Source organism: Homo sapiens, chromosome 16 (genome assembly GCF_000001405.40).
Source record: "Homo sapiens chromosome 16, GRCh38.p14 Primary Assembly".
NCBI classification, from domain to species: Eukaryota; Metazoa; Chordata; class Mammalia; order Primates; family Hominidae; genus Homo; species Homo sapiens.
In genome coordinates, this window is record NC_000016.10 from 47324357 (window position 1) to 47337260 (window position 12904).

Genomic DNA, 12904 nt, shown 5'->3' on the forward strand with positions numbered 1-12904 from the left:
AACTGGTACCAGCCACTGCAAAAACATGCCAAATTGTAAAGACCATCAAGGCTAGGAAGAAACTGCATCAACTAACAAGCAAAATAGCCAGCTAACATCATAATGACAGGATCAAATTCACACATAACAATATTAACTTTAAATGTAAATGGGTTAAATGCTCCAATTAAAAGGCACGGACTGGCAAATTGGATAAAGAGTCAAGACCCATCAGTGGGCTGTATTCAGGAAACTCATCTCATGTGCAGAGACACACATAGGCTCAAAATAAAGGGATGGAGGAAGATCTACCAAGAAAATGGAAAACAAAAAGGCAGGGGTTGCAATCAAGTCTCGGATAAAACAGACTTTAAACCAACAAAGATCAAAAGAGACAAAGAAGGCCACTACATAATGGTAAAGGGATCAATTCAACAAGAAGAGCTAACTATCCTAAATATATATGCTCCCAATACAGGAGCACCCAGATTCATAAAACAAGTCCTTAGTGACCTACGAAGAGACTTAGACTCCCACACAATAATAATGGGAGACTTTAACACCCCACTGTCAACATTAGACAGATCAGCGAGACAGAAAGTCAAAAGGATACCCAGGAATTGAACTCAGCTCTGCACCAAGCGGACCTAATAGACATCTACAGAACTCTCTACCCCAAATCAACAGAATATACATTCTTTTCAGCACCACACCACACCTATTCCAAAACTGACCACATAGTTGGAAGTAAAGCACTCCTCAGCAAATGTAGAAGAACAGAAATTATAACAAACTGTCTCTCAGACCACAGTGCAATCAAACTAGAACTCAGGATTAAGAAACTCACTCAAAACCGCTCAACTACATGGAAACTGCTCCTGAGTGACCACTGGGTACATAACGAAATGAAGGCAGAAATAAAGATGTTCTTTGAAACCAATGAGAACAAAGACACAACATACCAGAATCTCTGGGACACATTCAAAGCAGTGTGTAGAGGGAAATTTATAGCACTAAATGCCCACATGAGAAAGCAGGAAAGATCTAAAATTGACACCCTAACATCACAATTAAAAGAACTAGAGAAGCAAAGCAAACACATTGAAAAGCTAGCAGAAGGCAAGAAATAACTAAGATCAGAGTAGAACTGAAGGAAATAGAGACACAAAAAACCCTTCAAAAAATCAATGAAGCCAGGAGCTGGTTTTTTGAAAAGATCAACAAAATTGATAGACTGCTAGCAAGACTAATAAAGAAGAAAAGAGAGAAGAATCAAATAGACACAATAAAAAATGATAAAGGGGATATCACCACCGATCCCACAGAAATACAAACTACCATCAGAGAATACTATAAACACCTCTACGCAAATAAACTAGAAAATTTAGAAGAAATGGATAAATTCCTCGACACATACACCCTCCCAAGACTAAACCAGGAAGAAGTTGATTCTCTGAATAGACCAATAACAGGCTCTGAAACTGAGGCAATAATAAATAGCTTACCAACCAAAAAAGGTCCAGGACCAAATGGATTCACAGCCAAATTCTACCTGAGGTACAAGGAGGAGCTGGTACCACTCCTTATGAAACTACTCCAATCAACACAAAAAGAGGGAATCCTCCCTAACTCATTTTATGAGGCCAGCATCATCCTGATAACAATGCCTGGCAGAGACACAACAAAAAAAGAGAATTTTAGACCAATATCCTTGATGAACATTGATGCACAAATCCTCAATAAAATACTGGCAAACCGAATCCAGCAACACATAAAAAGCTTATCCACCATGATCAAGTGGGCATCATCCCTGGGATGGAAGTCTGGTTCAACATACGAAAATCAATACACCTAATACAGCATATAAACAGAACCAAAGACAAAAACCACATGATTATCTCAATAGATGCAGAAATGGCCTTTGACAAAATTCAACAACACTTCATGCTAAAAACTCTCAATAAATTAGGTATTGATGGGACGTATCTCAAAATAATAAGAGCTATCTATGACAAACCCACAGCCAATATCATACTGAATGGACAAAAACTGGAAGCATTCCCTTTGAAAACTGGCACAAGACAGGGATGCCCTCTCTCACCACTAATATTCAAAATAGTGTTGGAAGTTCTGGCCAGGGCAATTAGGCAGGAGAAGGAAATAAAGGGCATTCAATTAGGAAAAGAGGAAGTCAAATTGTCCCTGTTTGCAGATGACATGATTGTATATCTAGAAAACCCCATCGTCTCAGCACAAAATCTCCTTAAGCTGATAAGCAACTTCAGCAAAGTCTCAGGATACAAAATCAATGTGCAAAAATCACAAGCATTCTTATACACCAAAAACAGACAAACAGAGAGTCAAATCATGAGTGAACTCCCATTCACAATGGCTTCAAAGAAAATAAAATACCTAGGAATCCAACTTACAAAGGATGTGAAGGACCTCTTCAAGGAGAACTACAAACCACTGCTCAAGGAAATAAAAGAGGATACAAACAAATGGAAGAACATTCCATGCTCATGGGTAGGAAGAATCAATATCGTGAAAATGGCCATAGTGCCCAAGGTAATTTATAGATTCAATGCCATCCCCATCAAGCTACCAATGACTTTCTTCACAGAATTGGAAAAAACTACTTTAAAGTGCATATGGAACCAAAAAAGAGCCCGCATCGCCAAGTCAATCCTAAGCCAAAAGAAGAAAGGTGGAGGCATCACGCTACCTGACTTCAAACTATACTACAAGGCTACAGTAACCAAAACAGCATGGCACTGGTACCAAAACAGAGATATAGATCAATGGAACAGAACAGAGCCCTCAGAAATAATGTCACATATCTACAACTATCTGATCTTTGACAAACCTGACAAAAACAAGCAAAGGGGAAAGCATTCCCTATTTAATAAATGGTGCTGGGAAAACTGGCTAGCCATATATAGAAAGCTGAAACTGGATCCCTTCCTTACACCTTATACAAAAATTAATTCAAGATGGATTAAAGACTTACATGTTAGACCTAAAACCATAAAAACCCTAGAAGAAAACCTAGGCAATACCATTCAGGACACAGGCATGGGCAAGGACTGCATGTCTAAAACACCAAAAGCAATGGCAACAAAAGCCAAAATTGACAAATGGGATCTAATTAAACTAAAGAGCTTCTGCACAGCAAAAGAAACCACCATCAGAGTGAACAGGCAACCTACAAAATGGGAGAAAATTTTTGCAACCTACTCATCTGACAAAGGGCTAATATCCAGAATCTACAATGAACTCAAACAAATTTACAAGAAAAAAACAAACAACCTCATCAAAAAGTGGGCAAAGGATATGAACAGACACTTCTCAAAAGAAGACATTTATGCAGCCAAAAAACACATGAAAAAATGCTCATCATCACTGGCCATCAGAGAAATGCAAATCAAAACACAATGAGATACCATCTCACACCAGTTAGAATGGCAATCATTAAAAAGTCAGGAAACAACAGGTGCTGGAGAGGATGTGGAGAAATAGGAACACTTACACTGTTGGTGGGACTGTAAACTAGTTCAACCATTGTGGAAGTCGGTGTGGCAATTCCTCCAGGATCTAGAACTAGAAATACCATTTGACCCAGCCATCCCATTACTGGCTATATACCCAAAGGATTATAAATAATGCTGCTATAGACACATGCACACGTATGTTTACTGCGGCACTATTCAGAATAGCAAAGACTTGGAACCAACCCAAATGTCCAACAATGATAGATTGGATTAAGAAAATGTGGCACATATACACCATGGAATACTATGCAGCCATAAAAAATGATGAGTTCATGTCCTTTGTAGGGACATGGATGAAGCTGCAAACCATTATTCTCAGGAAACTATCGCAAGGTCAAAAAACCAAAGACCACATGTTCTCACTCATAGGTGGGAACTGAACAATGAGAACACATGGACACAGGAAGGGGAACATCACACACCGGGGACAGTTGTGGGGTGGGGGAAGGCGGGAGCGATAGCATTAGGAGATATACCTAATGCTAAGTGACGAATTAATGGGTGCAGCACACCAACATGGCACATGTATACATATGTAACAAACCTGCACATTGTGCATATGTACCCTAAAACTTAAAGTATAATAATAATAATAAAAAAAATCAAACCATATATAACTTAAAATTTGGAGTAAATGTGATAGTTGAGAAGAAGGAAATTTAGACACATTTCTTACACACGGTGTTAAAACAGAAGAAAAATACTTAGTATATCCTTGTTATATAACTAATTAGCTTAAACATTCTTATTTTCTACCAAGCAGAGTGATACTTAAGGGCTATTAATTCTTTTGTCTATTTACTTCTGAGTGCTCTCAATATGACAGAAAATAAATTCCGTTGGGGAATCATTTTAAGATTAGCACATTTAAATGAAAGAGATCAAACTTTTTTCCGTCAACAGTCTCTCATTTTACTAATAAACTAACCTATTATGACAAACTACTAGCTAACTCAAACCCATAATCTGAATTCTAAAAATAAGCAAGAAACTGAAATACAATCCTATTTTTTGCTTTATACATTTATTCACACCCATGATACAAGGTAGGCAAAGGTGGCTGCTAGTCTCTTCGTCAGTACGATCCTGCATTCAAAATAAAGCCTAAGACCAAAAGAACAGAAACGTATTTAAATATAAAAATCCACGCTTAAGGCAGCAAGGACTGAAAAATGGTTCCTTCTTATTATGATTAGAATAAAGCACCATAAAATGATGGTAAAGTAATATCATTGTAAAATGAAATCTTTACACACAAAAGCTTTCATTTAATCCTAACAATCTAGGATTTTATATTTGGGCAGAAGACGAGAATCAAAATGCAAATGATTAAAGCTATTCTAAAGAATTCTTAAGAAAAGAAGTCATGCTTGGGGGCAGCAGAAAGGACAATGGGAAAGATACTGCTTTCAGGACTGTCTGTTACTAGGGTGCTTAGTCAATTCAGTTTTTCTATCCACAAAATGAGAAGGCTAGATTCCATGTATGACATTCTAAAATGCTACCAGCAGTCCACTTCCACTAAGGCCACAGTCTACTTTAGGAGCATGGGCTTAAGTTCATCACAAGGACTTGAGGTCAAATCTCAGCTATCACTTGCTAGCAGTGTTGCCTTGGGAAAGTTATTTATGATTTCTAAGCCTCAGTTTCTTTATCTGTAAAATGCATACTATCCCAATGTTTTCTTGTAAAGATTAAATGATGATGATGACAATGATCACACTAATAAGCAGTCACTGAGTGTTTACTATGTGCAAAACAGTTATGAGTTTTATACATGTATTATCTCCTTTAATCTTCATAACAACTCAAATTGTGTTATTATCCTATATTATGACCTCCATTTAACAGAAGGAGAAATGGAAGTATAAGAGGTTAAGTACCTTGCCCATGAACACAGATTTAGTAAGAGGCAGAATCAGAATACAAACTCAGGCAGCCTGCGTCGAGAGCCCATATTCTCGTCTACTTCCCTTTGCATAGTTCTTGGCACATAAGAGCTAAATATGTGGTAGTAATTGTTAGAATAAGACACTCAGAAGTGTCAAATGGTGACACTACAATATCAAAGACAGTTGCTTTTACATAAGCCAAATGTCAACATTTGGGCAGGGATAGGTTACAGATTCTTAGTTTCTTCTGGAGAACATAAATGAAAGAGTGACCTTTAAAGAGGGCTGAAAATGCCTGGTACTGGTAAAAAATAGACAGGCATGCCAATGGAACAGAATAGAGAGCCCAGAAATAAAGCTGCACACCCATAAAAAAATGATCTTTGACAAAGTTGAGAAAAATGAGCATGGGAAAAAGGACTCTCTATTCAATAAATGGTGCTGGGAAAACTGGCTAACCATATGCAGAAGAATGAAACTGGACCCCTACCTCTTACCATATATAAAAAAGAACTGAAGATGGATTAAAGACATAAATGTAAGACCTCAACCTAAAAAATCCTAGAACAAAACCTAGGAAATACTCTTTGGGACATGTCCCTAGGAAAAGAATTTATGACTAAGTCCTCAAAAGCAAGTGAAACAAAAATAAAAATTGACAAGTTGAATCTAATGAAATTAAAGAGCTTCTGCATAGCCAAGAAACAAATAAACAAACCCAAAAAACAAAAAACCTAAACTATCAACAGAGTAAAAAGACAACCTATAGAATGGGAGAAAATATTTGCAAACTATGCATTCTAAAAGGGACTAATATCCAGAATCGATAAGGAACTTAAGCAAATCAACAAAAACAAAAATAACACCATTAAAAACTGGGCAAAGAACATGAACAGATACTTCTCAAAAGAAGACATACGAGCAGCCGACAAACATGAAAAAATGCTCAATATCACTAATCATCAGAGAAATGCAAATCAAAACCACAATGAGATACCACCTCACACCAGTCAGAATGGCTATTAAGAAGTCAAAAAATAACAGATGCTGGCAAGGCTGCAGAGAAAAGGGAATGCTTAGCACACACTGTTGGTGGAAATGTAAATTAATTCAGCCACTGTGGAAAGTAGCTTGGAGATTTCTCAAAGAACTTAAAAGAGAACTACCATTCTACCCAGTAATCCCATTAATGTGTATACACTCAAAGGAAAATAAATTGTTCTACCAAAAAGACATCTGCACTTGTATGTTCATCACAGCACTGTTCACAATAGCAAAGACATGGAAACAATCTAGGTGCCCATCAACGGTGGACTGGATAAAGAAAATGTGGTACCAATGGAATACTATGTAGCCATAAAAATGAGCAAAATCATGTCCTCTGCAGCAGCGTAAATGCAGCTGGAGGCCATTATCCTAAGTGAATTAACACAGAAACAGAAAGCCAAATACTGCATGTTCTCATTTACAAGTGGGAGCTAAACCCTGGATACCCATGGACGTAAAGATAGAAACAGACACTGGGGACTCCAAAAGGAAGGAGGAAGGGAGGGACAGAGGGAAGAGGGCAAGGGCTGAAAAACTTCCTATGGGGTACTGTGTTCACTACTTGGGTAACAGGATCAATAGAAGCCCAGATCTCAGCATCATGCAAATATACCCATGCAACAAATCTGCACATGGACCCTCTGAATCTAAACTAAAATTAACAATTAAATAAAACAAAACAGAAACCCAAAGAAAAGGGCTCCATTACAGTGAACGTTGATAAAAACTGCGAATAAAGGTTATCCTAACTTCTGCTTATACTCTTCTTTCATTGAAATATCTATCTTTGTGAGATTTACCTTTCAGATCCTTTTATAACCCATAATATTCTAAATAAACATGGGTTAGTTTAAAAGTAAAAGAAGGGTCAAGTTTCAGAAATAAGTAGACTAACTTGAAATAGCCTTTTGAAAAATAAAAGAACAGTCTCGTCATGCTAATTTTGAAATTTTCATGAGAAAAGTAGTTTAGGTGTTGTTAGTAATTTTTGTTGTACGATCTATGAGCTAATTAGTACTTTTACTCAGACGATAAACATCTTTAATTCCCTTCAAAGCTGTAATTATAATTTCCACTTGCAGGTATTTTTGATCACCTATGAAACAGCTAAATACATAATCTCCTCAAATACCCCAAATATTATTAGGACATCAAATTCTTAGGTCAAAGCACCTTGTCTTTAAGAAGCTCATTTTGTTCTTTCAATAAAAGACTCTTATGTATGAAATGTCTGAACCAGTGTTGCGGTTTTCTCACTCTGACTAAATCCTTGTTTCACAAGTAGCTGTGAACTTTTTGCCAGAAGGGTAGAGGTGGTGTAACTAACCTGCACATTGTGCACAGGTACCCTAAAACTTAAAGTATAATAATAATAAAATAAAATAAAATAAAATAAAAAAAGAAGGGTAGAGGTAGATGAAATAAACAGCTGCTAACAATGATATTCCATGGATTTCACAGAATATTCATTTTCAAGATTAAAATCTTTGTTATCCATCCTTTCAAGGGAAAAATAGGGAATCAAATATGAAGCTGCTATGTTCAAAAGCAAGGTGCACAAGGAATTCTATAGCAGCTTTTACCTCTACAAGCACTTCACGGCCACTAAAAGTAAAATGTTCTAACTATTAACAAGCGTAAAGATCCCTGTAACTTGGTGTTTCATTTACATATTTTGTTCATATTTTCCTAATGATCAATCCTTTTAATTTAAATAATCAGTCAACAGAATATAACAATCAGCTTTGACTTATTTCTCACTGATTTCAAATTACATATGTTAGAACTATAAAAGGCCATAGAAATTATGTCCTTTATCTCCATCATTTTATAGATGAGAAAATGGAGGCCCAGAAAGGTTAAGCCATTTGTCTGGGATCAGACAGACAGGGAGAGGCAAGACTTGACTCCAGTCATGGGGTCCTTCAACCCATGCAAGCTCTATTTAGGAATGGCCCAGAACCAGGTAATTATTCAATTTGTTAGGCATAAGTCAGTGAACAACATCAGGATTTTCACGTCAGTCTTTCCAACTAACTTCTGCATTAAAGCAGCAGTTTATTCAAAGGTACTAGAGCAATTTACGAGGTTATTCATCTATGAAATAATTGAAACATCATTTACTATCATATTTATAAACATACTTTAATTGTGTTCATAAGCACTGAATTAATCACCGAAAGGGAGAAAAACACCTACACATGCAGTTGTCTCAATTTTAATAAATATACAATGCCCAAAGCTGTTCTTATTTTTTTTTTCTATTCCTATACACATGAAGGGTATGTCCTGGGATGGAAGAAGGAAATTGATAATTCCTGAATATCTACTAAGTCCTAGTAGAGGTTATTTTATATGTACTACATTAATATTTAATTCTGACAAAAACTATGAATAACAGAGTATTATCTTTAATTTACAGATGAGGACATTGATGCTTGGTAATATTAATCACCCAAGGAAAAAGCCAATACATGGCAGGCAAAAGTGGAATTTTAACTCAAGTCTGCCTAAGTTCATTATCCAAGGATGTCTCCTCTCTTCCTGAAACTGAAAAGTGTTTGTCAAAGGTTCATCCAGAATTAGAGACCTAGCAAGCAGCTGAAAAATATGGTTTTTCTCTGGATTGAAGGTAAATGGACAATACTGGAGAATATGCCCTTAAATATGACTTTTTACCTTATTTTGAGTTGATTAGTTTAGAAATAAGAAAAGCAAACATTCGTTATAAAATTTTTCTTTTAATGAAGTATATAAGCACTGTATTAACCATAATATAAAATGGCCACATAACTTTTATAAGTTCATGAAGTTGGTAAGCAGTAGAGCTGGGATTCATACCAAGAGCTGTTTGGCTTTAGGACTAGAGGTATGTTACCGTACTTCCCTATGGTCAGTTTTCTAATCCACAAAAGAAGCAGAGTGGACATAAGACCCGTTTCGTGCTTTAAGGAACTGCTCTTTTTACCTTGCTCTTCAAGCAGGAAAACAGTCTTCATCATGGACTAGGTCTTTACTAAGCAATATTAAATACTGAAAAATATAATGGTTTCAACTGAGATTTTAAAATTCAATGAACTGTGATACCACATTTACATGACTTCATTTTATATGAAATAGTACCTTTCAATTTAGATACCCACAATATCATCTGGCACACCATTTACCATATTGGTATTTTGGCCCACCAGTAAGAAAGTTGTGAAATAATAGTGTTAGTATGTGAAAAGGCTTTTAATCATGTTCTATTTTATTAATCATTGATTTTGCTAAATACAATGAAATCCATGAATGTTACTCTCATTCAAAGAACCTCTCAATACATGAATGAATATATTTTAGGCTGGGTGCAGCGGTTCATATCTGTAATCCCAGCACTTTGGGAGGCTGAAGCAGGTGGACTGCTTGAGCCCAGGAGTTCAAGACAAGCCTGGGCAACATGGCCAAAGGAAGTTAGCTGGGTGTGCTGGTGTGTGCCTGTAGTCCCAAATACTTAAGAGGCTGAGGTGAGAGGATTGCTTGACCTGGGGAGGTTGAGGCTGCAGTGAGCCATGATCTCACTACTGCACTCCAAACTGGGTGACAGAGTGAGCCCTGTCTTAAAAAAGAATAAAAAAGAAAATACATTTTATTCTATATTAAACAAACACTTAAATATAGGAGCAGTGAACGCCAAAAAATTCCTAGAGCAAGTGATTTCTCAGATTTTGTTTCATTGTGTTTTTGGTCAATGATTCACTGCTTGGTTGAAGTCATGCGTCAAGGCAAATTACACAGTTTTATATAGGTGGAGAACTGTTAGCTGGATTATAACGCTGACTTTTGGGTCTATATAATTTCAACTCTGACAAACAAGAAATTCCTGCAGCTCCTTCCCCACCCTGAGTTATAGCAAATAATCATCAGTCAACATTAGTCTAATTTTTCAGACAGGTCCCATTTTATGATATTACTCTCTATACATGCAAATATTATAATTAGAAAATATTCTTATAGTGTTCTGAGATGAGAAAAATTTTTTTGTTAACTACCAAGAATTTATTTAAAATTAATGCAAAATGACTCACAGACTTACAGAGCTAAAATTAGAAAGCTTATAGAAGAAAACAGGAAAAAATTTTTCTGTCCTTAGGTTATTAAGCAAAGAATTCTTAGATATGACATGAGAAACATGATACTAAAAGCAAAATTGGATAAACCTGACCTGATAAAAATTACACATACATGCTTTTATAAAACCCATTAAGATGACTGGGTGCAGTGGCTCATGCCAGTAAACCTAGCACTTTGGGAGGCCGAGGAGGGTGGATCACCTGAGGTCAGGAGTTCAAGACCAACCTGGCCAACATGGTGAAACCCTGTCTCTACTAAAAATACAAAAATCAGTCAGGCGTGGTGGTGGGCACCTGTAATCCCAGCTACTAGGGAGGCTGAGGCAGGAGAATCATTTGAACCTGGGAGGCGGAGGTTGCTGTGAGCCCAGATCATGCCCATTGCACTCCAGCCTGGGTTGCAAGAGCGAGACTCTAAGAAAAAACAAAACAAAACAAGACAAAAAAACAAACCCAAAAGTCCCCCAAAACAACAAAAAACCCTACTAAGACATAAAAAGACAAGCTGCAGAGTGGAGAATAAAAGAATTGCAAATCATGTATCTTATAAAGGATTTGTTTGAAGAATATACAAAGAAGTACTATAACTTAAGATGTCACACAATGGGTTTCTAAAACATGGACAAAGAATTGGAATAGACATTTCACAACAGAAAAACCTACAAATGGCAAATAAACTTATAAAAAAGATGTTCAGCATCATTAGTCATAAGGGAAATGCAAATAAATGGCAAAATAAGACACCACTACACACCAAATAAAATAGTTATAATAAAAAAGAATGACAATACTAACTGTTGACAAGAATGTAGAGAGAATAGAAATCTCATACATTCCTGGTAGTAACAATATGGATAGCCACTTTGGAAACATAAAATGTTAAGCATACACTTATCATATTGATCTGGTATTTCCACTCCTAGGTATTACTAAGAAAAAGGAAACCATGTATCTACACACAGTCTTTTAAACAAATGTTCACAGCAGTATTATTCCTAGTAACCCCAAACTGGAAATAATCTAAAGTCTCCCTCAACAGTTTACAGATAAATAAAATGTCATATACTCATACAATGGAATACCACTCAGCAATTAAAAGGAACAAATTACGAATACATATTACAATATGAGTGAACCTTAGATGCTAACAAGCCAGAAATACAGTATGATTCCATTTACATAAAATGTCTAGAATAGGCCAAAGTATAGAGACAAAAAGTAGATCAAATGATGTCAGCAAAATGGCAGAGTAGGCAGCTCCTGGATCTCTCACAGACACCCAGAGAAAACAAGCTGAAACTATCAGAAATAACTGTCAGAACTCTGGAAAACGGTCAAAGGTTGACAGCAACCAAGCAAATGCTGAATCAAGAAACAGGCAACTTGAAAATGGTAGGAAAATTTGACAGCATTTTTCCTTGCCCTTGTCCTGCTGCTCTCGGCTGTGGTAGCAGTGCTGAAGCAGTGACAACACTGGTCCCTGGATTTGAGGAAATACAGCAGATCTCACTTATAAATCATTGTGTATGTCTGTTCTAACGTGTCTAGGGACTATCTGGAAGATGGACAGAAGGTGCTTGATTCTCTTTTGGCTAACTTGAAACTAAGGACAGAAAAGCAGCAGACATTACTCAAAACACTCCAAAGCCCACAGATACCTGAGGCAAAAGATGATGGATCAAGTCATACAACGGCATATAAGGCACTGGAGAAAAAGCTAAGGGAAATTCGTTAAGAAATTAGGGGTCGGGCATGGTGGCTCATGCCTGTAATCCCAGCACTTTGGGAGGCCGAGGAGGCGGGTCACCTGAGGTCAGGAGTTCTAGACCTGCCTGGCCAACATGGCAAAATCCTGTCTCTACTAAAAATATAAAAATTAGCCGGGCATGGTGACACATGCCTGTAATCCCAGCTACTCGGGAGGCTGAGGGAGAAGAATTGTCTGAACCCAGGAGGCGGAGGTTGCAGTGAGCCAAGATCACACCACTGAACTTCAGCTTTTGGGACACAGCGAGACTCCATCTCAAAAAAAGAAAAAAAAAAAAAAAGAGGCTGGGTACAGTGGCTCATGCCTGTGGGCACATGTAATCCCAGCTACTTGGGAGGCTGAGGCAGGAGAATCACAGGGAGGCGGGGGTTGCAGTGAGCTGAGATGGTGCCATTGCACTCCAACCTGGGTGACAAGAGCGAACTCTGTCTCAAAAAAAAAAAAAAAAGAAAAAGAAAAAAAAAGAAAGAAATTAGGACAGCTGATGAATGCTGAAGATATAGGTACTTGATATCCTCTTGTGGAAATTTTGACTCCAAACTTTCAGCTGGAAGG

At 37.1% G+C, this 12904-nt stretch overlaps 1 protein-coding gene and 1 long non-coding RNA gene across 3 annotated transcripts in view; one reads left to right on the top strand and one right to left on the bottom strand.

The window, feature by feature from the left end:
• ITFG1-AS2 (ITFG1 antisense RNA 2) overlaps positions 1 to 8962 on the top strand; it is a 60347-nt gene extending 51385 nt beyond the window's left edge. Inside the window, exon 3 of the long non-coding RNA XR_007065056.1 lies at positions 8892 to 8962. This is a non-coding gene — a long non-coding RNA (ITFG1 antisense RNA 2). The remainder of the gene's footprint in view (positions 1 to 8891) is intronic.
• ITFG1 (integrin alpha FG-GAP repeat containing 1) overlaps positions 1 to 12904 on the bottom strand; it is a 306856-nt gene that overhangs the window by 169966 nt on the left and 123986 nt on the right. The window lies entirely within an intron of this gene.